At 36.0% G+C, this 24,066-nt stretch overlaps 3 annotated features.

Moving 5' to 3' along the window:
• Positions 277 to 571: a silencer, noted in NCBI's record as "tiled region #10744; HepG2 Repressive DNase matched - State 7:EnhWF, and K562 Repressive non-DNase unmatched - State 24:Quies". NCBI's record gives its function as "represses a minimal TATA promoter and a strong SV40 promoter by Sharpr-MPRA in HepG2 and K562 cells {active_cell/tissue: HepG2 | K562}" and the evidence as "EXISTENCE:reporter gene assay evidence [ECO:0000049][PMID:27701403]".
• Positions 13,204 to 13,348: an enhancer, noted in NCBI's record as "145 bp 7:124449868 sequence used in MPRA reporter constructs". NCBI's record gives its function as "activates a minimal TATA-containing promoter with rs17147496 allelic activity by MPRAs in C283T melanocytes {active_cell/tissue: C283T}" and the evidence as "EXISTENCE:reporter gene assay evidence [ECO:0000049][PMID:36423637]".
• Position 13,276: a transcriptional cis regulatory region, noted in NCBI's record as "rs17147496 or 7:124449868 MPRA-significant variant associated with a GWAS melanoma risk locus at 7q31.33". NCBI's record gives its function as "allelic transcriptional activity by MPRAs in C283T melanocytes {active_cell/tissue: C283T}" and the evidence as "EXISTENCE:reporter gene assay evidence [ECO:0000049][PMID:36423637]".

Below are 24,066 nucleotides of genomic sequence, written 5' to 3' on the forward strand. Positions count from 1 at the left end.
ACTTTTCCTCCTGATCCAGTGTCATAGTTTTACTTTGCATATTTTGTGATGTTTATCATAGGTGAGACATTGTGGATGATACTTGGGGGAAATGTTGGATTCTGTTATTGTTCTCTGAGTAGTAGTATTTTTTTTGATAGCAGGCAATTAAATTACAGGCTGCTCACCATAAACTTCTGAAGTTTTGCTTTACATGTCATTAAAGCAGGCCTATTCCCATATCTTAGGTCAGATCTCATAAATTCTGTGTTATAGTCTTTAATCCGAAAGCATGGTGTTTCAATGGAAAACCAAAGGTATTCTTTGTCAAGCCCTTTTAACTTGTCATGACTCACACTCCAAATGTTTGTCTTCCTTGTAGTGGACAGTAGCTAAAATCTCTAGGAAGCCTTTTAAACTTTCAGCTATTGATTTCCACCGAGCTTCTTGGATTCTCACTTACACTTACATAGTCAACAAGGGATTGAGGAAAGTTTATATTTATATTGTGGTGCTCCCTCCTCTGTAACTCTTTCCTTACTGAAGGGAAATTCTTAGCCACTTAGGTTGTCCCTTAGCAACTCAAATAAAAAACACTGTAGCTTTCTGCTTGAGTCCTTGCTGCCCTGTACTACACAAACTAGAATGGAAAAGCAAGATCAATGCTGTTATCTTATGTCAAGGATCAATTTCTGATTTTGGTTATTCTCCAGTCCTTAATTTTTTTTTCTTTCAGATTGTATTATTGTTACCTAGGACACTGGGGGAAGGATATTAATGGAATATAACCTACTCCACCATTATCAGAAACAGAACACCTATTTGTTTGGCTGATTCATTTTCAAATAAAGTTCCTCTTTTTTTGTTCCTTAAACATACATTTATTTTAAGCACCTCCTATGTGCTGGACACTCTTCCAGAGTCTGACAATGCAACAGTGAACAAAACAGATATATTCCCCATTCCTAAGGAGGTGAAATTCTAGTGTAATAGGAAGACAGAAACATACACAAATATAAAAGATAGTATCAGGTTAATAAGTACTATGAAATAAATAAAACAGAAGAAGGGGGTAAAGAGTGACAGGAATAGTTTTTGGACAGGGTCATTGGAGAAAAACCTCATGAAAGAAGTTGCTATGTGACCAGCCTGGGCAACATAGTGAGATCCCATCTTTAAAAAATTATAAAAATTAGCCAGGCATGGTAGCTCGTGTCTGTAGTACCAGCTACTCAGGAAGCTGACGTGGGACGATAGCTTGAGCCCAGAAGTGCGAAGCTGCAGTGAGCTATGATCTTGCCACTGCACTCCAGCCTGGGCAACAGAGCAAGACCTCATCTCTAAACAATGAAATAAAATAAAACACATTTGCTATGTGAGCAGAGACCTCAATGGAGTGAAGAAGCCATTATGCAGATACTTGAGGAAAGTGTTCCAGGCTAAACAATAGCAAATTTAAAAACCTTGACAAAGGTGTTTGGCAGAGGCTGATTCTTGTAATAAGAGGGCCAGTGTATCTGGAGAAGAATAAGATATGCTAGATTAGAGAGGTTGCCCCAACTGGATCATACATAGTTTTGTAAAGAGTTTTGATTGTAATGAGCGTGATGAGAAGGTAGTTTTGAGCAGGTAAATGATAGAATCTGATTTACATTGTGAAAGGTGTGCCCTGGCTTCTGTTTGTAGAATAGATGGGAGGGGAACATAATGATTTTCCACTGGTGATTCTAATGATTAATAGGTTTGGGAATATGTTTCTGCATGATGCAGAAACTGGAAGCTGCTGCCTTGCTAGCCTGATATTTCAAGTGTGGTCCAGACTAGCACCATCGGCATTCTAAAAGCTTGTTAACTGCAGAATCCAAGGCCCACTCATAGAACAACTGAATCAAAATTCACATTATTTCCTCTTGGAATTTCTATTTCTACCTAATAAAATCTTACCTACTCAACAATGACCAAATCCATCAGAAAATATCCCCAGCTACAAGTGAGTTAGCTTTATACATTAATAGAATGTTATCCTTCACTCCTAGTTCCTTGTATCCTAACTTCACCTTTTTTTTTTTTTTTTTTTTTTTTTTGGCTAAGGAGTCAAAAGAGGTGAGGATTTAAGGAAGTCACACTGAACCGTGTCAAATGTTCAGTTTCTCCTTGGATTTGCAATTACCTTTCTGAAAATAGTCACAGAAGTTTTGGATGTATGTGTGAGGAGGAAGACAGATCTGTCTAACTCTTATTTGATATTGCGTGGCTCTTCTCTATCCCTCTCTCAAGCCTCCTTCCCCTACCACCCAAACTACCTCTTTCCGTGTGTCAGTCAATAACAATTGCCCATAGTCTTTACTTTGCAACAAGTTTTTTTGGTATTGATCATTCACAGCCTTTGAGAAAACTCTTACTCCACTGGTATAGTTTTTTATTTAAAACTTTATCATAAAATGAAAACTAACATGAAACTCACAGAAATTATAAATTTAAGGCATTTATTTTCAAGAAAGGCTCTTCTTCCTAGATAGTCACTCTCACCATTAAAATTAGCGATTTTTTTCAGTAAGGATGATTAGACATTACCTTAATTTTCTGGGTTTCTTGCTAAAAATTAATGATTTGTAGTTATCAAATAACTGTAAAATTTGAAGGTAAAAATTAGCAATTTTAGTGGCTAATATTAGTTGAATATAAAAACAATATTTAGATAATATAATTTTCAAAGATTTGTCAGCAATTAACTATGTATTTATAGATATAGTTGTCTCTTCCTCTTCCTTCAAACATGTGTGCATTACTAAAAAAATAAATCAAAATCTTTACAATAAAATGTAAAATACAGATACTTTTTAAAATCACAGGATATTATTTAAATCAAAATAGTTAAAATCTATTCTGCAATCTAGTATTATAATTTACAAATATCTGACTCTCAGAGTACTTAAACTACAAAAAGTATAAACTGTAGCAAGCTGATTACCTGAAATATAGTAAAGCCAAACATAAAATTACCTTGTAACTCTGTAATTGCATTTGTAAAGAGACAATATAAAAATTCTCGGTTGAAATCATCTTCTAATGATTGAAAGTCCTCACTCCCCATGAAGCACCTTGCTTGTTTTTTGGTTTTGGTTTTGGTTTTGGTTTTTTTTGAGATGGAGTTTTGCTTATCAGCCAGGCTGGAGTGCAGTGGCGCGGTCTCGGCTCACTGCAATCTCCACCTCCTGGATTCAAGCAATTCTCTCACCTTAGCCTCCTGAGTAGCTGGGATTACAGGCGCCCATCAGCATGCCCAGATAATTTTTGTATTTTTAGTAGAGACAAGTTTTCGCCATGTTGGCCAGGCTGGTCTCGAACCCCTGACCTCAGGTGATCCACCCGCCTCGGCCTCCCAAAGTGCTGGGATTACTGGCGTGAGCCACTGCGCCCGGCTGCACCTTGCTTATAATTGATGTCTATACCGAATCCTTTCCTGAAGACCAGACTTCAGCAAGGCTATCTTATGCCATTGTTGTTAATATGGTTTTTGTACATGCCTCAAAGGTTTCAATTTCTTTGAGATTTATATAATTATTCTTGTATAGCAGTACAATAATTGCAGTTTACTGACTTTTTACCTTTGATTCGTACCCAGCTTTCAAGTTCCCAACTCTTAGAATCATTTATTCTCTGTATTTTCACTTCAGCTCAACACCTCCATGTGTTACATGTAAGTAAAACTATGAAGAAAAAAAAGAACTTCAAAGCACAGAAATAAATAAATGTCTTAATTAGGGATTTTTTTCTACTACCATATGGTCCAAAAGTATTCCCTGTGGCTGTCACTGAAGAGCATGATAAAGTGGCAATGTATGTTTTTGCCAAAAATGAGCCGCGGAAAATAAAATCATTTTCTATGTGTCTTGGTTTGTTCAACAGGATGCAATATAGGGTCAAGAAGACAATTGTTTTGATTTCAGGCCCATGGGAAGCTCTGCCATAATCGCTGCATGCCTCCCTCTTGCAGTCTTACAGGGCTAGAACAGTGAGAGTAAGGGACTGACATGTGAAACAGAGCAGACAGTTCAGTGCAACACATCCCCACTTCTGTAAACAACTTGAATTGTATGCCTGCGTGCCTATTCTGGTAATGTCTGCCCTTGTCCTTCTCAGTTTTGTTCTGTTTGCAAGGGGCTGTCCTTTTAGTCTACATTTTCCAGGCACCAGTTGCCATCAGCAGATTAGAGGCAGGGGTAAGGGAGAAGTCAAGGTATTCAACTTTCTGCCTTTGGTAGTAGCTAACATCACACTAGGGCCTAGCTCCTGCCATAAAAACCGTGAGCTCCAGCCTTCATGCAGCAGCCCAAGGGCACGGGTTGCCTCCTTTTGTCCTTCTGCCTACATCTGGAGGAAGCTTGGGTGGGCCAATGTTTAGATAGCCTCACTGCCATCTAGTTAGCATCTGAGTTTCTTCCATCACCCATATAACCCATTCCTACATTAAATTCCTTGTTGTAAATGCTGAGAGTGTTTTTTCTTTTTGTTCAGATCCTAAACAATTGCATTCTGTTCATGGAGAGTCAATAACACTTTGATCACACTGAATTCTATAACTAGAATATGTATATATACATATTTGTCTTATATATGTATCATATGTACGATGTATATAAAAAGAAAACTAGAGAATTATAGGCATTGTATATCATAGATGGAATAGACCTAGAGCAAAAACAAGAAGATGATCTATAAGATTCAAGCAGTTCAAACATAAATTTTAGATTTATGTCCAAATGAACTAAACTACTCACCAAAAGAGGTTAAAATGACAACAAAGCAGGACAATTTTCTTAAGATAGTAGCATGATCCTGAAGTTTGAATATAATTCTTGCATGTTAAACAGATGGTTGGTTTATAGGTAATTAAATACAAAGAATCTCTGGAGGCAAAGCACAGCTTTTTCAGTGAGTTAGTGATGGAATAACTGAACCTGAAGTAATTGCACAAATACCAGATTGAAGGAGACTGGAACTGCTATTACGTAATATGGTCATCTCTTCCCTTCCTAAAAGATTATATTTTGTTTACCTAAATGGATTATAAGATTATGTATCATTAACATTGTAGTTTTCTTGTAGAATCAGACAATGTCTTTTACATAGATTATGCTAAAATTTATGTTTATTACTACATGATTCAATAAATGAACTGGCATGGCCTGACAGACATATGTTTTAGAAGGGTTTGCCTAAGGCTGTTAATAGAAGCATTGCAGGCAGTCCAGAAAATTGCAGTAAAAATATGCAAGTGCTTATAATAGCTTCTAAGTTAACCAGTATCTGAAACTTGACATTTATAAATGGGAGAAGAAAAAACTAAGTTTCAAAGGCCCACTCAAGCTTTCTCATAAGAAATAAAGAAGATAAGGAAGCCCCATTCTTTTTTATCTACATTTTTAATGAATATGGGCTCGTAACTGAAATATTAACTATAAGAAGCACAAGTTTGTATTTAAAAATTTCTAAGTATAAAACTGAAGAAAAAATATTGCATTGTAGATTGTTTAGCACATTTAAAAAGTCTATTCCCATTTTCCCTTTCTCTCTCTTTCTTTTTTTGTTATCCTATACGACTTAAATGTTTAAGTAGTTATATTAATAACTGTCTTAAGTAGAGAGTAAAATTCACTACATAGAAAAGAATCACATAAACTTATATTATGGGTTTCTCTTAGGTCTTCGAGAGCAGTTCATGAAAATGTGGCAGAAATGTATCTAAAAGGGGGCAAAGAATTCACATCCCTTCTGGTACACGATAGCCTCAGGGCAGCGTCATAAGCCACTGGCCTGCTCCATTCTTAGGGAGCCGGCGCGACATGGGCATTTTTAAGATCTTCATCCTAAATTCCAATGCAGAACACAAAAAAGGGTTAAGAAGTCCTGGCACGGTGGCTCACGCCTGTAATCCCAGCACTTTGGGAGGCCGAGGCGGGCAGATCACGAGGTCAGGATTTCAAGACCAGCCTGACCAACATGGTGAAATTCCGTCTCTACTAAAAATACAAAAATTAACTGGGCGTGGTGGCACACGCCTGTAATCCTAGCTACTCAGAAGGCTGAGGCAGGAGAATCGCTTGAACCCGGGAGGTGGAGGTTGCAGTGAACCGAGATTGCACCATTGCACTCCAGCCTGGGCGACAAAGCAAGACTCCATCTAAAAAAAAAAAAAAAAAAAAAAAAAGGGCAGACCATAACTTCCTATATGTAAACCTGCATTATCTTAACTATGTACATCTATCTGGACTCTACCACACACCCCTCATATCCCTTTTCCCTTTCCCATAAGCCCTCTCCATTCTCCTCAGTATTATTTAAACATCTGTGGAAAAAAGGAAGCCAGAACATCGTATAGGTCATTTTTGCCTCCTGTTTAGCCAAACCTTTCCTGCGGAAATGAAATGCAGAACTGAGACCTACCTAAATTGTGAGTAGGGGTAGAAGAAAGATAAAGGAACAAAAACATAGAACAAACATAAATTATAATCTCAAAACATTATCTAGGCTCACTGATATTTAAGAAAGCTCATGATTTTGGATTAATTAAATTTCATTCTGCCAATTTACTGAGTTGTTTTGATTAATTCCCATAGCTTCTCAGTTAACACTTGGGTTTTCTAACATCATAGAAATTGCAAATGTTTTAATTTTGTGTTTTCTTTCCCTATATGTATACTAATAGATCTGCTACATAACTAAAGCATTGACTATATCCTCCAGAATTTTAAGTAGCTAAAGAAGAATTATGCATTGTAATATTTTTCTTAAATATCACAGAAATGCTTTCTGCAATTCTCTATTAATTATGGTGCTGACTTTGGTTATGAGAGAGATATTCTTTATCACAAGAGATCAATAGAAAGGAACAGAAAGTTTAGTTATGGACAGACTGTGCAGGGTTTTTTTTGTTTGTTCTTGCACGTGAGAGTGGGGGCGCTCTAATGAGCTGGGAAAGTTATAGTCTTACCTCACGTCTCACACAAAAATAGATTCTATACAGATCAAGTATTATTAAAGGGAGAATTAGGCCAGGTGCGGTGGCTCACACCTGTAATCCTAGTGCTTTGAGAGGTGGAGGTAGAAGCGTCACTAGAGGCCAGGTATTCAAGACCAGCCTGCACAACAGAGGAAAACCCCATCTTATGAAAAATTTTAAAAATTAGCCATCTGTATCCACCTATAATCCTTGTTACTCAGGAGGCTCACGCAGGAGGATTGCCCAAGAGGTAGAGGGCTGCAGTAAGCTATGGTCATACTTTGCACTCCAGCTGGAGCAACAGAACAAGACTCTGTCCCTAAATAAATAAATAAATAAATAAATAAATAAACTGTAAAAGCATTCAAATACAATTATGGGAGAAATATTTTTCTTAGAAGTCTAAGAATGATGTAAGTAGAATATAATCATCAGAAAATATAACATAAATGATAAGTTTAACTTTATAATTATAAAATTATTTTGCACAATAAAATAGACAAAATGAAGCCCCTAACCAAAGTAGAAATGACAAATGACAGAAAGGAAAGAATGGATGAGGTTAAGCCCCATTTTTAATAATAGAAATGTCCTAAAAGTGGGTGAAATAAATAATAACGACAAATGCATTTTAAAGGAAAGCCAGCCTCACAATAAATCAAATACGAGTAAAGATGAACTTTTTGTAAGTCACAAAAATCATAAAGTCATGAAATTTGGCAATATACCTGACATTTGAATCCTAGTACTACCACTTACTAGTTGTACACAGTTGCTTAATATTTCTGAGCTTCAGTTTCTTCATTTGATAAATCCATCTAGTCACACTGGGATCCAGGGTCCATCCACCCTGTATGCCAGCATGTTATCTGTAACAAAATATTACTTTCCTCATGGCTGTCATTTGGATTAAATCAATTATTATATGTAAAATATTTAGCACAGTGCGTGGCACATCGTAAGTCTCAGTTGATGGCAGATAACAGAAGAGTTTAAAATTATAAATTGATTAGGAATGGATTCCATTGCTAATAACAGAAAACAAAAACAAGTTTAAAGCAAGTTTAAGTTTAAGCAAGCAGGATTTCATTTTTCATACAGAACAAAAAGTCCAGAGGTGGGAAGTTAGTTCAGCTTCTCAAAGGCTCTATCACGGATTCAGGCTATTGTTAACCATTATACTTCACTGTCTTCAGGGTGAAGGTTGTGTATGCATCCTTACTGTTTCATGATTGTAAAGTGATGCTGTATCTCTAGTTACCAACTTCTGCATTCCAAGCAGGGAAAAGGAGGAAGGAACAAAAGGCATGAAGGTTAGAGCTGGGTGCCAGCTTAATCTCTTTCATTTTATCAGGGAAGCAAACCTCTCAGATGGTAAACTTCTATCTCTGACCCAGAAATGTATTACATGGTCATCCCTGGCTGAAATGTCACTAGAGAGCAGGGGCTGTGGATGGCTATCAGATCAGCCAACCAACAGTGTTTGCCACAAATAGTAACAACAACAAAAAGAAAGTCAACAGACTTAGCAGTGGCTTTAACCTTTACACTTTTATTGAAACTCTTTATTGCTTTCTTACTGGAAAAGTGTAATCATTAAAAAAATAAAACTCAAATACACTTCCCTCTACAATCCACTACATTTCCCACCACCCCGAACCAGACACCTAACGAAGAGGGAGAATGAGGACATCTTATTACTTGTATGTTGACATTTTAAAATCATTTCAGCCCCTGAAGACTTTCGTAAATATCAATCTCTCTGTTGCCCCAGAGTCTTAGGGATATAATTTGTACTGGTGAAATTAAAAAAAAAAAAAAAAAAGGAGACCACTCCCTTGTACTACATGAATACACCTTTCCCTTCTTTATAATAATTTTGAGAAAAGTTGTACATATTCTCAGTTGATTTCTTTACTAAAGTTTCCATGTTACAAATAACCACTTCAAGGACAAATACCTGAGGAATTTCACACCTAAACAATGAATAAGAATTGGAAAAGATTATTACAGTTTCTCACACTGAGTTTTAATCTGATTCATTTTAATCAAATAGTCTCTCTTGTCTAAGAAAAGGTCATGAAAGAAGACAGTAACTTACAGGAGAGAACGAGAGATTCAAAATAAATACGTTAAGGGGGTAGAGACATGTCTCATTAGTTTTCTTGCGTGGTGAGAAATATGTAAAGAATGATTGAAAAGACAATGAGCAACTATCAAACTAAATTAGAATACTTCTGAATTTGCTTATTTAAAATAAAATCTGTATTAAGCAAGCCAATCCTTTTAACCCAGGTTTTTTTTTCTAATATAATGATACACATCTATAAAATATTTATTTTGCTGCTTTGTGCTACTATTAGGTTGGTGCCATTAAAAACAATGGGAAAAACTGCAATTACTTTTGCACCAACCTAAATATAGGCGAAAAGCAGTCTGCTACTTAAGACAAGATTGCAGATAACCTCTGTTATTTTGATTTAAATTGTGAAGGAAACTTAAAGGCCAAATACATTTGCATTTGAAAGCAGAAAATAAAGATTTCTAAAATCTTGAGGAGAGCTTTCTGCTGTCCTTAATGAAAATGCATTATATTAATTTTATTAAGAACAAATATTATAATCCATAGAAGCATCATCTTTAATTCTTATGAAAGTTCATTACAGAAGAAAGGTGTTTAATTATGCTTTAAAAGAAGGAAAACATCTATATACTTGAGTTTAAAGAAAGGCAGCCCAAGGATGTGAAGTCATTTACAGCAGATCACAGGATAAGTTAATGCCAATTAATGCCAATAAGATATTTGAGTCCATCTGACTTTTCTGTTACAAGAACATCCTGGTCTAATGGATGTTTCCCTTCTTATCCAGACTCTCACACACAGATATGCTCAATACGTTCTGGATAATCATAGTGGATTGTGGATTATTGTTACATAGCATATATTCATGCACATACATTGAATGAATGAACAAAAGACCCTTTTAAATGAATCATGTAATGATTCAGTAAAATTTATTGGCTAAAAAAATTTTCATGGAGACTGAAACTTTGGAATCAAAGGTCCCTAAACTCATCTGAATTCATTTCTGGTTTTTAGATTTTGATAAATACTGGTTTTACAATAAATACTATGTATATATAGTGCAGTATATAGTATATAAATGGCAGTTTTCACAAAAGGCATAAAAATATATGTATATAGATACTATATACATCATATAGATGCTATATACATATACATATGTATATACATGTAAAATTGTTGCTCTTTAAAGATATAAGAATAGCCACTACATTAAAAACTAGTTAGTATTCTGATATTCTCCATCACACTCAAAACTCAAATGTTATGCCTCTGATACAAAGGCAACATTTCAAGCTGTTGAAGCCTAAAGCTATCTTGCAATAAGTTTCTTTAGCATTGCCAGTCTCCAAATTCATCCCTTTTTACTTTTGAAAAACAATTACAAATGAATTTCAGTTGAAGGAATAAACAAATTCAAAGTATACAAATTACATTTGCTAAAAATGAATGAAATAGAAAAACTTGAGTGTTACAAATAAGATCTATTATGTGGATTATTTTCTGCCTATCAAATCCAAAATCACTAAAGTGAAGACAATGGCATACATCAATTACCTTATTTCTATGAGTAAGTCTTAAATGACCTATTGCCAGTAGAAATTTAAATTTCCTTGGCTATTTCAAGTGTGTTATTTTCTTTTCTTTTCTTTTTTTTTTTTTTTTTTTTTGAGATGGAAGCTCACTCTGTCTCCCAGGTGTGATCTTGGCTCACTGCAACCTCCGCCTCCCAGGTTCAAGCGATTCTCCTGTCTCAGCCTCCCGAGTAGCTAGGATTACAGACACGTGCCACCACGCCTTGCTTATTTTTGTATTTTTAGTAGAGATGGGGTTTCACCATATTGGCCGGGCTGGTCTTGAACTCCTGACCTCGTGATCTGCCTGCCTCGGCCTCCCAAAGTGCTGGGATTACAGGCATGAGCCACCGCGCCTGGCCCTTCAAGTGGTTATTTTCTCTGTAGATTAATTTTGATATCTATTTAAGTATGTAGCAAAATTTGATCATTAAAATCATGGCCTAATTCACAACAAAAAAAGCAGCAGGAAGTCCCTGTCAAATGTTTTAATATTAACTTGAACTTCTATTCATCTATAAAGGCCTAACAAAAATTAACCTTCTCATTACCAAGGGCATACTAAATAATAAATTATTCTTAATGTGAAGCTTATAAGAATATAGAAGTCTTATTTTATATGATGTTAACTTAAATTTGACAGTGATTTTCTTGAATTATTCATTACACCTAGAAACCTAATGGAATAAAAAAGACTTTGCAATGATAATTATAAACTGATATTTAAACCATTTAGTGACATCTTTAAATGGAATTTTTAGCATAATTAAAAATGATGGATCTTACACAGTGTTGCACTTTATTGAATAGATGTTGAATTAAGTAATTTTATACAAATTCTCAATAGCTAAGCATTAGTAATACAATAGGTATAGAAGGGTTCTCTTATTTTTGTTATAAATTCTCCCTGCTGATATTCGACTAAGTTTTAAAATAATGCCTCTCTTAATTACAAAATGGAAATACCAGAAAATAGTGTACTCTCCTTCATTACTTTCCCTCCTTGCTCTAGAGACTTAGCAGCATGTTATGAAGACTATCATGAACGCTACGATATAATGAGACTGATTTTCTCGAGCTGCCTAAGGAAACCACATTCATTCTGGTAGGGTCTTGCCTCATCTATGTGTAGAGTAAAATGAGTGACATGTTACAAAACTGTGTTTATGCTTTAGTCTGAATATGAATTGATACATGCTCCCCACAGAATTCTGGAAACTATAGATGAGTCCAAAAAAGGAAATAAAGATGCCAAAATGTCATCAACCAGATAATCACTGTTAGCCGTCTGGCTCTGCCTGTAATTTTTGGCATGCATGTGTCCATGTGATCTTTGAAGGAAGGCATTGTATTGTTTACTGCTGTATTCCCAATTCTCATCATTGAGCCCCGAACAAAGTAAGAGATTAATGAAATTTGCATGTTAAATAAATGCAGACAAACATAGTAAAATGGGGTCATACTGTAATCCAGGTCTCTCTTTTTCATGTACAGTAAATATAAAAATGTCCTTAGATATTCTTGTAAAACATGATCGTCGCAGGCTATATTATGTTCCTTTTTGTGATAATCAGTAATTTCTCAGTCAGTATTTGGGGACAGAATGGTTGTTCCCATTCTTTCTAAATGGTATTTTTTGACATTATGGTCATTCTCAATTTTTCACAGTTCATAAAAGAAGAAAATCCGGCACAAAGAGGAACACTTGAAAAAGAATTTATTTATGCTGCTAAATAACTTACCAAAAAAGCCGAACTCCTAATGATAATATCGAAGGTGCTTTTTAAATCTATTTCCAGAAAAAAAAATTTTTTCAATCTTTCCTTATTTCATATACAAAAATATGTTTCAATCTGCATTTCTTGATGTTTAGTGCAATTAAGCATTTGAATTTATTTTTCAAGATTTATTTATATTATGAAGTCATTTTTGTTGCAACAATTAGTATGTCGTATTTCTCACAAACTTTATCATAGTTTGTTATTTGCATTATATTTTTGGTATATTGATGTATTTGTTCTTTTTATATATATATATGTAGTCTTGTTCTGTCACCCTGGCTGGAGTGCAGTGGCGTGATCACAGCTCACTGCAGCCTCTACCTCCCTGGCAGAAGTGATCTTCCTGCTTAAGCCTTCACAGTAACAGAGACTAGAAGTATGCACCGCCATGCCTGGTTAAACTTTAACATTTTCTCTTTTTTTGGTAGAGACAGGGTCTCACTATATTCCCCAGACTGGTCTCAAACTCCTAGACTCAAGCAATCTATCAGCCTCAGCCTCTCAAATTGCTGGGATTACAGGTGTGATCCACTGTGCCCAGCCCAATTTTTTAATTTAAAGAGCCTGATAAATATAAATGTAAAATAATTTAATGAAAGACTTTTTAAATTATAAATATGACTGTGTTATTGCAGGAAATTTAGTTAGGACAAAAGTATATTTAAAAATTATTCATTATCCCATTTTATAAAGATACTGATGAAATTTCTTTTGGTCATTGTGCTAAGCATTTTTTAAAATATGAGAAGTTGATATATTTTAAATGATGTACATCAATGAGACTGTACTACATTATAATTGGACATAAATGGCATGTGTGTCACCCAAATTATTACAGTTTATATTACTTCTGAGTCAAACCCTACTATGGTTGAACTCATCTAATGAGTTTGAAATGTAGTGTTTTGCAGAACTTCTAAATACAGTGTATACAATTAAAGGATTATTTCCAATAGTTTTTATTTGTAGGTCAAGAGATAGAATCTTCCATATATTTCTTTCAAAAAACACAAAAATTCATATTTGTGGAGAAATACCCTCAAGATTATGATGTCTGGAATATAATTCCTGTGGCACTTTTCCTGCTTAAAATGTTAGTTAAGCTTTCCATTTAATTTAGAATAAAGTTCAAACCACTAAGTGAGGTCTCCCAGGCCCTATTCAACCTGGCCTTGTTTTCTGCTCCAGCCTGATTTAAAAATAAATATAACTGGAAGGAATGCAGCATTCTAATGTTGCAACCTTAGTCTGACAAATGTTGCTGTTGCTTCTCTAAGACATTGAAAATATCCTGCCCGTCCTTCGTATGTTTGCTGTGGTATCCTGAGATACTTCAGCAGTTTGTAAACAATGGCTTTAGGTGCACAACAAGAAAACATATGGTATAGAATGGAAATACTTCAATAGCTTAAGATGACTAAGCAGGGTATATATTAATTTAAGTAGGATTTAAATAAATGCATGAATAATGAGTTGTTTAAAAATACTAGGATGACTTTTGGGGAATTTTGACATCATGAAAAATACCAATGCTCTTTTGTCTTTTAGTATGAATACCAGCGGCAGAAAGCAGAACTTAATAGGATCAATTGTTAGTTTAATACAGCATTAAAGAAAAATCTATTGGAGGTCACCAGTTTAGACTGAGCTCTTGCGCTAGGCCCAATAGACCAAAACAAAATGGAGTTACTCATTGCAAAAATTCCAAGCTACCAGGTGGAAACGACTTTATCTGACCTTCAGAGAAAGCAGGAGATTGAGAGAGAGAGAGAGAAAGAGAAAGAGGGAGAATAGCCAAATTCCCAAATAGGTCAGTTTCAATGGGCATGATAATGAAGTTCCCTCTGCTTTATTCCCTACAAAGGGATTTTTGTTCTTTGTTCCTGCTTTCTTCAGCCCTTCTTTGTGTATAAAACCAACCCCTTCTGCTCTGCTCAGCTCGTCAGCCTGCTCATTCCATTTTATTAAATAAATGTTGCCCAATTCTATAATTGCAGATAAAGCCAATTAAAAATTTTAAACTAAATTTGTTGTAATTTTGTCTTTTGACAACAGTAAATTCAAATAGTTTTATATAGTAGGACACGATTAATTTCATAACATCAAGAGACAAACCTTAAGAATAGTCAAACTAGATCACATGTTAGATGAAAGGCTTTACATCAAAGTGACTGTTTAAAATAGAGAAAAATGAAGTTGACAGGCTACTCTTTGTTCTACCCATATTCCATTCCTAATTTATTTACTGTCACTACCAATTTTTAAAACCAAGTTCATGTATTATTTTTTGTGGCTTCATTTTTCAACTGATAATTTCTTAAGGAAATTCGCAATCCAAATACATTGAACATTCTGTTGTTGCTGCCTTTAGAATAGATTTTAAAGATTGTTTTGTGGACACCAGACCCTTAATCATTTCATGAAAGAAACATTGTTATAACACAGTTTTCCACTTTTAAGACATATAAGCATTGTATTATAAGTAAATTAATATTAATGTATTAATATTATATAGTGAAAAAGTGCAAAACTAAGAGTTGGCAATATAGTTATAGCCCTGGGTCAGTTTCTGGTTAAGCCAGTTTCAGTTTTCAGTTCATTAAAGTGCGGAGGGGATGTGTCAGTTGATCACAGATTTTTTTTGTTAGGGCTTTTGTAATGGACTAAATGTTTAGGTCCCCTGAAAATTTGTATGTTGAAATCCTACCCCACAGATGATGGTATTGGAAGGTGGGATCTTTGGGTGGTGAGTAGGTCATGAGAGCCATGTGAGGTGACAGTGAAAAGATAGTCATCATAAGCCAGGAAGTTGGCCCTCACCAGACACCTAACCTGCTAACATTAGAATTTTAGACTTCCCAGCCTCTAGCACTGTGAGAAATACATTTCTATTGTTTTTAAGCCACCCAGTCTATGGTTTTTGTTATAGCAGCCAAACGGATTCAAACAGCCTCCAACATAGTAAAGATCTTCAAGTGCCAGTGTTCTTGGTTGTAGTAGGAAGAAGATAATGAAATTTCCCTAAGACAGGTTGTTGAGAAGACCAAGATAAAACACAATCAAAAAAGGTATTGTTATACATATCTAAAGGCAGTGACTTTTTAAAATAATTTTTTGGTGTTTATGGTGATTATCTTTATCAATGCATTTTTTTTGTCATTAACAGCCTGCCTTTAGATTAGCCAACAGTATACAACTGAAGTATATCACATGAAAACTAACTTTTCTTCCAACAACTGTTGAATTTTTTCCTTAATGCAACAAGAATAGGAACAAAAGAGTACATTTTTCATCTATTGTCTTTGAAGTGCCTCATTGAAGGTTTTTTTGTGATCCACTAACCTGGAGAAAGGTTACTATAAATAAACATTGTAATATCACATTGATCCTTTTGCCTTTTTAATTTGTACCATATACATGAAATTGTATTTGTGCATTCTGTCTACTCATAGGAAAAAACAAATCAACTATTGCTGAGAAAGGCATAAAATTCTTTCTTATGGATTTTGAAAAATCTATCTAGATATTAGAATAATTACATATGTTTGCTATTATGTCAACATCAGTTAATACCAATGACTTCTAATGTATCAGTTTTTTACTTACACCTGGCTTGTAGCTGAATATTGGTAGAAAGGTTGACAGTGTACTGAACGATGCAGGCTATCTTCACCCAACTTGTTAACTCTCCTGTGTTCATCTGTGCTTTCAGAGTCTGAAGTATGTCTCCTAAATAACTGTTAGGAAAGAAAATGGGTATGTCTGATACTAAAATGGAGGTACAACAATTCTTTCTACATAATGGGGTCCAGTAAAAATCTGTGGAACAAACCCACATGTAAAGCTTTTGTTTCAGGCAGTGATATAATTTTATTAATTGCCATAAAATTTTAGGCTGTATATTTTGGATCAGTGCTCTTGGGGGGAAGTTGGAGGAATGTAAGAAGAATCTGCTGGGAAAACTACAGCCTGCATCCCTCCCCACCCCCCACCCGCTCCAAGGTGGGAGGAAGGACATAAGAGAATTCAGGGCAGGTTAATACTGCTACCAACCTGAAGTCTCTAGAAGAGCATTACGAATTATAAAGAGTAATGTATGTAGTTATTTCTTTAAATTTGTGATTTTTCCATTTAAAAATATCTACTACCTAAATAAACTGCCAGGGATTTAAAGAAAATTAATGATTAGTTTGCAAGAACACTAATGTTTTACTTGCTACACACTGAAATTAATAGAAAAAAAAAACTCCATTGAGATGAAGGAGCTAAGCAATTAATTTTCCTCTTTCTCAAAACACTGACATGAACAGGGGTAATATAAAGTTCTTCTAGGTGAGATTGAAAAGTCTTCTTCCAGATGTCAAAGGGAATTCACACTTCAGAAGAGGAAACTCAACAGGAAGAGAATTATGAATAAAGGTCAATGATGATTTTGGATTTGTGGTAATATTTCTTATTTCTTTTTACTTTTCCCTTAGGCTACTTAGGGGTTTGTTCTTAAATCATGTCCAGAAGGAAGCCTGTAAAGCAGTATTCTGTCATTTCCTTCTTTCCACTGAGAATGCTCACTATATTAAGCCTTTTAGCTAGATAGTTAGTGTAAAACATCTCGTTACTGGATAGGGTGATTTCCTATTTTAGGGCAGTCAACAACAACAGTCAGTGGGATACAACAGAAGTGTCTCTGGGCAAAACTGAACAATCAAAGAAATGTTAGAATTGGAAGGGACCTTAAAGATCTTCCAGTTTACTGGTTTACAAACCATTTCTGAACTATTAGAGGACTTCAAGGGAGCAATGGGCAGAAAGTGGGGTTCCTAAACTATTTTCAACATTTCAAAAAGCTTAAACAGTTGCAATATTAACCATGAGAAATCTGCAACAGTTCCTTGCTTTTGCTTAGGAGTAGATGAATTATGTTAAATTCAGCATTAGTTATATTAATCAGACCAAAAGCTCTTATTTACATTTTCATTTAATAGGTGAAATTTTATAGGCAATACTTTGTAAACTAGTAAGTGCTGAAAATTGGAAAGCAAATGGTCTTTTATAGATAAGAGTCCAGAGAAGTGACTTGCTCAGGATTAAATGAATTAGTGTGAAGCCTGGGACTGGATCTCAAGTTTGCTGACTCTTAGCAGGTGAGGCTTGGGGTAAGCAATCTCATCTGCCAGCTCTGCCTTCACTTCCCAACTTGGGCTGGGCTGGTGCCATTCACCCTGAGTCTGTGTCAGGGGTGATCCCCAGAGTTGTGCAATGGAGCCTTCTGACACTTGTGCTTGGTAATCATTCTATTTTTAATAAAATGTCACTTAATCTCAGATATTGACAACAACATCAAGTTTTTCCAGATTGATTTGCATTTCATGAAGGCTTAAGGCTTTAAGGGAAAAAACTTAAGCTCCACCAAGAGAGATTCAACCTCTCAGCAGGTGTTCTTTTGGCAGAGTGGAATTTCTGGTAAAGAACCAATGACTAAGACAAGTATGAGCTGTTTTTTTTTTTTTTTAAACTTTGGAAAAGTACATTGATCTTTTTGGATTGGAGCTGGAGAAAACATGATATGAATGTTTGCAGAGTTGGCTTCCCTAATAGGGGAAGTTAACTGAATTGTGCCACATGGTTTTACCTCCTCTGCTGTTATCCTGTGGGTGTGGTACTGCTGTCAAAGATTTGCTTTATCACTGTCTTAGAATGACCAAGTGTAGTGTCATAAAGACTGAGGAATACATTGAAGCCCGATTTCAGTAAATTTTAAGTACCTAACGTGTTCTCTCATTATGAACCAAATCTTATTTTCTGAGGTAGATAAATTATGTTCCATGTCTCTTTTGTGATCTTAAGGTAGAAAGTAATCTTGCATATTCAATATTGGAAATTCAATGCTTTCAAATAGATATGTTATGGTCTGTAGAACCATAAAATAAGCATTAAAATGTCTTACCAAATATCCTAGCATAAAAAACGCATTTTGATTTGCATTTAGATTTCACTAAAGCCACAGGGACTCAACACTAGTAGTGTATTATATCATTATTCTTTCTTTAAATCTCTATTATAAGAAGAGACAGGTACATTGAGTTATATAATCACACTCCAAATTAGATCATACCAAATAATAAGACAAATATTTCCTGATGACTCTGAAAAACAACTAATGGTAGTCAATGATTTATTACATATAAACACTTTAGAGTGATAAAGGCATTGGGAAATGTACAGTTTTATTTGCATTTAGTTTTAAGTGACTTGAATGAAGAAACTGCAGACTTTCACAAACTAGCTACATGCAAAAAAATTTCCCATAAAATTTACAAATGACTTCCTTTCTGCCATTGTTTCAGAGTAGAAGAGTGTTTTCCTTCTTCCTCAGTGCTTGTACACTATTATTTTCAGATTCCTCTTCATTAAGTCACTTAGTCAAGCTATTCTCTATTTTAAAAATCAGCCCTACTGGTGTATAATGATTACTGAGTTTCTTTTTTCTCCATATTTTTGCACAACAGGAACAAGATAATGAAAAAAATAGCATTTGCAATCGAAAAACTATCCAGATAACCATCTTAGGAGAGGATTCTTTGGTCAACTGATCCAATGACATTCACTCCATTTCATTCCCATGTTCCTTCCATTTCATACTCATTTTGTAATAGCTTCACTAGTTGGGCCTGAAATAACCTGAAGGGTGTAGTTGCTTCCCCTTGTCAACATTAAAGCAAGGGTGGCTGGGATGTTAAGGAATCAGCAAAATAGAGGAAAGGAATAAATTTTAAGGCTCTTTTTAAGAGGGTAACAATAAAGATGATTGGTTTTTGTCGCCAAAACTTACTGACATCTAATCCTTTATGAGACTTTCTTCTGTGCCGGATTCTAAGCATTTTAATATTTCATTTTTTCCTGCCCCATCACGGCCTTCTAAAGTGGGCACTATTATAATTCCCAGTTTTCAAGAAAAGCTAACCACTGGCTTCAGGTCAAATAGCTAGTGAGCTGTGCATCAGGCAGTTGAATCCATGCAGTCTTGAGCTAGATTCCAGAGTGACACCTTGGAATCCGATACTTTTAAAATTCCCTCCCCAGGTGATAATAACCTGAAGCCAGGGTTAAGAACCACTGACTGGTACAGATTAATAACTTGAAGCCAGGGTTAAGAACCACTGATTGGTACAGATTCTAGATCAAGGCGCTTCAACTCAACTGTTTTCAGGGCCAGGCATTTTAAATAAATTTTTAAAAGCAATCAGATACAGACCCCATACTCTAAAAGAATTTTGAAAAGTGTGTCCACATATTTTTACTAAAGGAGAAATCATCTGGGGACATTGTTAACACAAATGACTGAGCCTCAGCTCATCGAATCCTTATTCAATCTATATCACAATTACCTAGGTTTTACTTTTTTTTTTTTTTTTTTTTTTTTTGAGATGGAGTCTCACTCTGTCACCAGGCTGGAGTGCAGTGGCGTGATCTCGGCTCACTGCAACCTCTGCCTCCTGGGTTCAAGCGGTTTTACTTTTCAATGTAAATTTCTGCATCCCAGGTTACCACTGCTCTAAAATCACTTTAGGTGCTGATAAATTCTAGTATTTTTGCCATTACTTTAAATGGCAAAAACTGCAATTACTTTTGCACTAACCTGATATTTTTGGGAGAGAGTTCTCAAATATGAGATGATCATTTTATTCATTCTAGGAATTTTTACTGAGCATTTATTATGTGCCATGAATTTCTAGATACTTGGTGAATGGCAGTGAACAAATGAAACTCTGTGCCTCTCTAAGGAGCTCATGTTCTACTGAACAAATAAATGTATGTGAGATGCAGAAATAAATCTATGTCAGATGGATAAAAGCAGTGGAGAAAAATAAGGCAGGGGTGGGGGCATGGAGTGGGATGGGTAGGGTTATCCTTTATATAGTCAGGGGTGGCCTTTCTGGTAAGATCATGTTGGAACAGAGGATGTCAGGCAATGAACCATGAAACCTACAACTACTCAACAGTATCCAGACTAAAGTAACAACATCATGTACAAAGGACCTGTAGGTTGGAAAAATAAGACCAGTGTTTGGAAAGCAGTGAAAGGAGAAAAATGAGAATAGAAGTTATCAGAGTGGTAGTGAGGAACTGAATCTATCACATTGGGTGGTGAAGGCCATGGTAATCACATGGAAAATAGTATGTGCCTTATGTGTTAACAGATCAACCTGGGGCTGAGAATGCAATATGTGGGGAAATTGTGGAGGCAGGAAGACCAGTTGCAGGGCACTGGCTCTAGTCCAGGCATAAAAAGATGGTAGCATGACCAACATGATGGTAGAAGTGGTAATAAATAGTCAAATTCTGGATTTATTTTAAAGAGTTAGCTATGATAATTTTTATAATGGATTGGATGTGGAGCGCAAAAGAAAGAGGAATCATGGATGACTAGATGTAATGTTTGGGTATTAGAGCTTAGTAAATTTGATGTAGGTAAAATACTCTCCCAGCAAATTCCCAGTTGGGCACAGGTGTGAAGCTAATTTGACTTATGACTAAAGCAACATCTTCCATGGAGCAGTAAAGGTGAAAAACTGGAATACATGTCTTCCAAATAACTCATTAAAACCTGCATTCTTCCTGACATGAATCATTCTGTTCAAGATTTCTTTTAATTCATCACCTCCAACAAGAAAAGGAAAAGGCAAAGGCAAAAAGCCAATTTTCTCAGTGACATTTGTATCAGAAGAGATTTTTTTTTTTTTTTTTTTGAGACGAAGTCTCGCTCTGTTGCCCAGGCTGGAGTGCAGTGGCGTGATCTCGGCTCACTGCAAGCTCCGCCTCCCAGGTTCACGCCATTCTGCCTCAGCCTCCCAAGTAGCTGGGACTACAGGCGCCCACCACCACGCCCAGCTAATTTTTTTGTATTTTTAGTAGAGACGGGGTTTCACCATGTTAGCCAGGATGGTCTCGATCTCCTGACCTTGTGATCCACCCACCTTGGCCTCCCAAAGTGCTGGGATTACAGGTGTGAGCCACCATGCCCGGCTGAGAATAGATTTTTTAATACCAGAAAAATATTTGACTTTTTCTTGTAATTATTGCTTCTAATAATTTTTAAATATGCAGATATTTCAGACCCTTTACATTAATCATTAAAACAAACACATTCCTCACATAAGAGACAAAAGGTGGACAGTTAGAGGAATATTCCCCTGCTCCATTTCTTCCATCTTCAGAACTTAACTCCTACATTCTGGATCATGTTTTTGCATTTTAAAGCAACTACTATTAACTACGTAAATCATTCTGTTTAGGGTGTGTAATATAAAAACTTACCTGTACTCAATATTGAGATAAAGAAAAACTCTGTATGCCCTAAAAGCATAATTTAATAACTTTTATTTAGTAGGAGCAATGTAACCTGTTGCATTTTCATGTGTAATAATGATACGGACAGAAGACAGGAAAATACGGGGTAGAAGAGGGCAGTTCCCTGGCAAAGGCCCTACTCTCAAGCCTAGAAACCCACGGCCCTAAATGGGAACAGGCATTCCTGTTTTCATACCCAAAAAGTTGCCTTTTGGCCTGCCATGCCCTCTATCCTACACCCATATGAACCTCAGGCCCCAGACTCCAGCAGCAGATGAGGAGACGAACAGAAAAATGGCGGAAAGGCACAGTAGAGAAGGAGAGAAGGAAAGGAGTGTCTGAATGTTGAGTTCGGCTGGAGGTGATGGGAGAGATCAGCTGGTGGATGGCCAAACTCCAGGGGAAGATCATCTTTCCACTCCATCCCCCTTCCAGTTCCCCACCCATCCCATTGAGAGCCACGTCCACCATTCAGTAAAACCCCCACATTCATCATTCAAGTCCATGTGTGACCTGATTCTTCCTGGACTCCAAACAAGAGCCTGTGTGACAAGGGGGGCACTGAGAGGCTAGCACTTAAGCCATCTGCGGATGGCAGAGCTAAAAGAGCACTGTAACACTGGGGCTTCAGGAGTCGCAGGCACCCACCCCTAGATGCTGCCATGGGGCTGGAGCCCAAAAGTTCTCACCCCAGTTCCTGCACCTGCCCGTATGTGTGCTCCCTGTCCAATAAGGGTTTTGAGCTTGCAGCGGCCTGAACACAGAATCACACCCCTGTGGCATGTCCTGCGAGGGGTGTCAGGGAACACTGCTGTTTCAGTAAGTTTTGTTCCAAACCTGTAGCATTCCTTGGATTAGATTTTTTAAATTATCTTAAACTTCTCTCTTTGGCCCTTCTTGCCCTGTTTCTAAAGGTGTGTCCTGTGTCTCATGTTTGTCTTTTATTGTAAATCGCAGCAAATCCTTTTTGGATACAGACACTGTATGAGTAATAAATGAATACAGAGGTATGTAATAACTTTTACATATCATTTTGTACTTTGTATTCTTTGTCTTAATCTCCATTTAACCTTTTATTGTACAAAAATATTTAATGATTCCAAAATTTAAAGGTGTTTATTTTTTTAGAACCTTTTCTAATGAAGATTAAACATATAAGATTTCCTATACAAAACTAAAACCACAGCCATGCCTACCTGCTGCAAGCGATGTTTTCACTTGACTCCACAGGTTAATACTTTTGATTTTAAAATGACTTACCTTCCTTGTAGTGCTATGAGAGACTTGCATTAGCTATTTATGTATGTATTAACTATTATAAAAGCTTGGGACAGAATGTCACTTACGAAGTAGCTAAACTTGGCAAGAGACTTTAAATTCTAGAAAGACTGCCTTCTAATGGAGGACAGAAGTCGGCTAAGGAATAGTGTTTGTGTAACAACAAAAGGGCTTTTATCTGGGAGTTCCAATTTCAAAGAAGGGAAAAACCATTTTGAAGTTATAGGGAAAAAAAGCAAGGTTGTATATAAAAAGGTACATGTTTAGGAACTGCACCATATTTGTTTAATAGATGATAGGAAGCTTAAGGTTTTTAACACACACATGCTCCAAATCTTTAAAATACTATGAACAAACAGATGAAATAAAAGAAAGTTTCACAAAAGTTGAAAATGCTTTCTTTGGTAGTTGTGGACTAGATTTTTAGGTAAATTCCAACATAGTACCCTGCAAAGTGAACACAAAGAAAATAAAAGCACACACACACACACACACACACACTACCAATGTGACTGTGACTTTGTGGCCTAGATCTCAAGGAAAAATACCAGAAATTCATTAAGATGTTGCTAGAGTCGAAAAATAGCCGAGGAATCTCTGCACTATCCATGTTTCACCAATTGGCCATGTGAGGGAGAGCTCCCACATACACTGATACATTATCTTTGTCATTGTAATTGATGCCCAATAATTTTCAACCCATCAAATGCAGTCCTGATGGAAGGGACATTTATTTATCTCCATGTAAGATGATCATCACTTAGAATCCCTAGCTGATCTCAAATTTCCTAACAGCTTAAATCACAATAGTGAAAAAACAAAACAAAAACAAAAACATAGCACTACTAATTTCCCGACTGCCAAAAGAAGATAGGATCTCACATACCTGAGAGCACCTATGAGTGCCTGCTTAGTGAGTTTAGATACCCATTCCAAGTACCAGAGAGAAGACAGGTCATCATGCCCAGATTTTACTAGCTGACTAGGTCCCTTTTTCCTGGAATGGGTAGGGTTGAC

The sequence above is a fragment of the Homo sapiens genome, chromosome 7 (genome assembly GCF_000001405.40).
Source record: "Homo sapiens chromosome 7, GRCh38.p14 Primary Assembly".
Taxonomy (NCBI): Eukaryota; Metazoa; Chordata; class Mammalia; order Primates; family Hominidae; genus Homo; species Homo sapiens.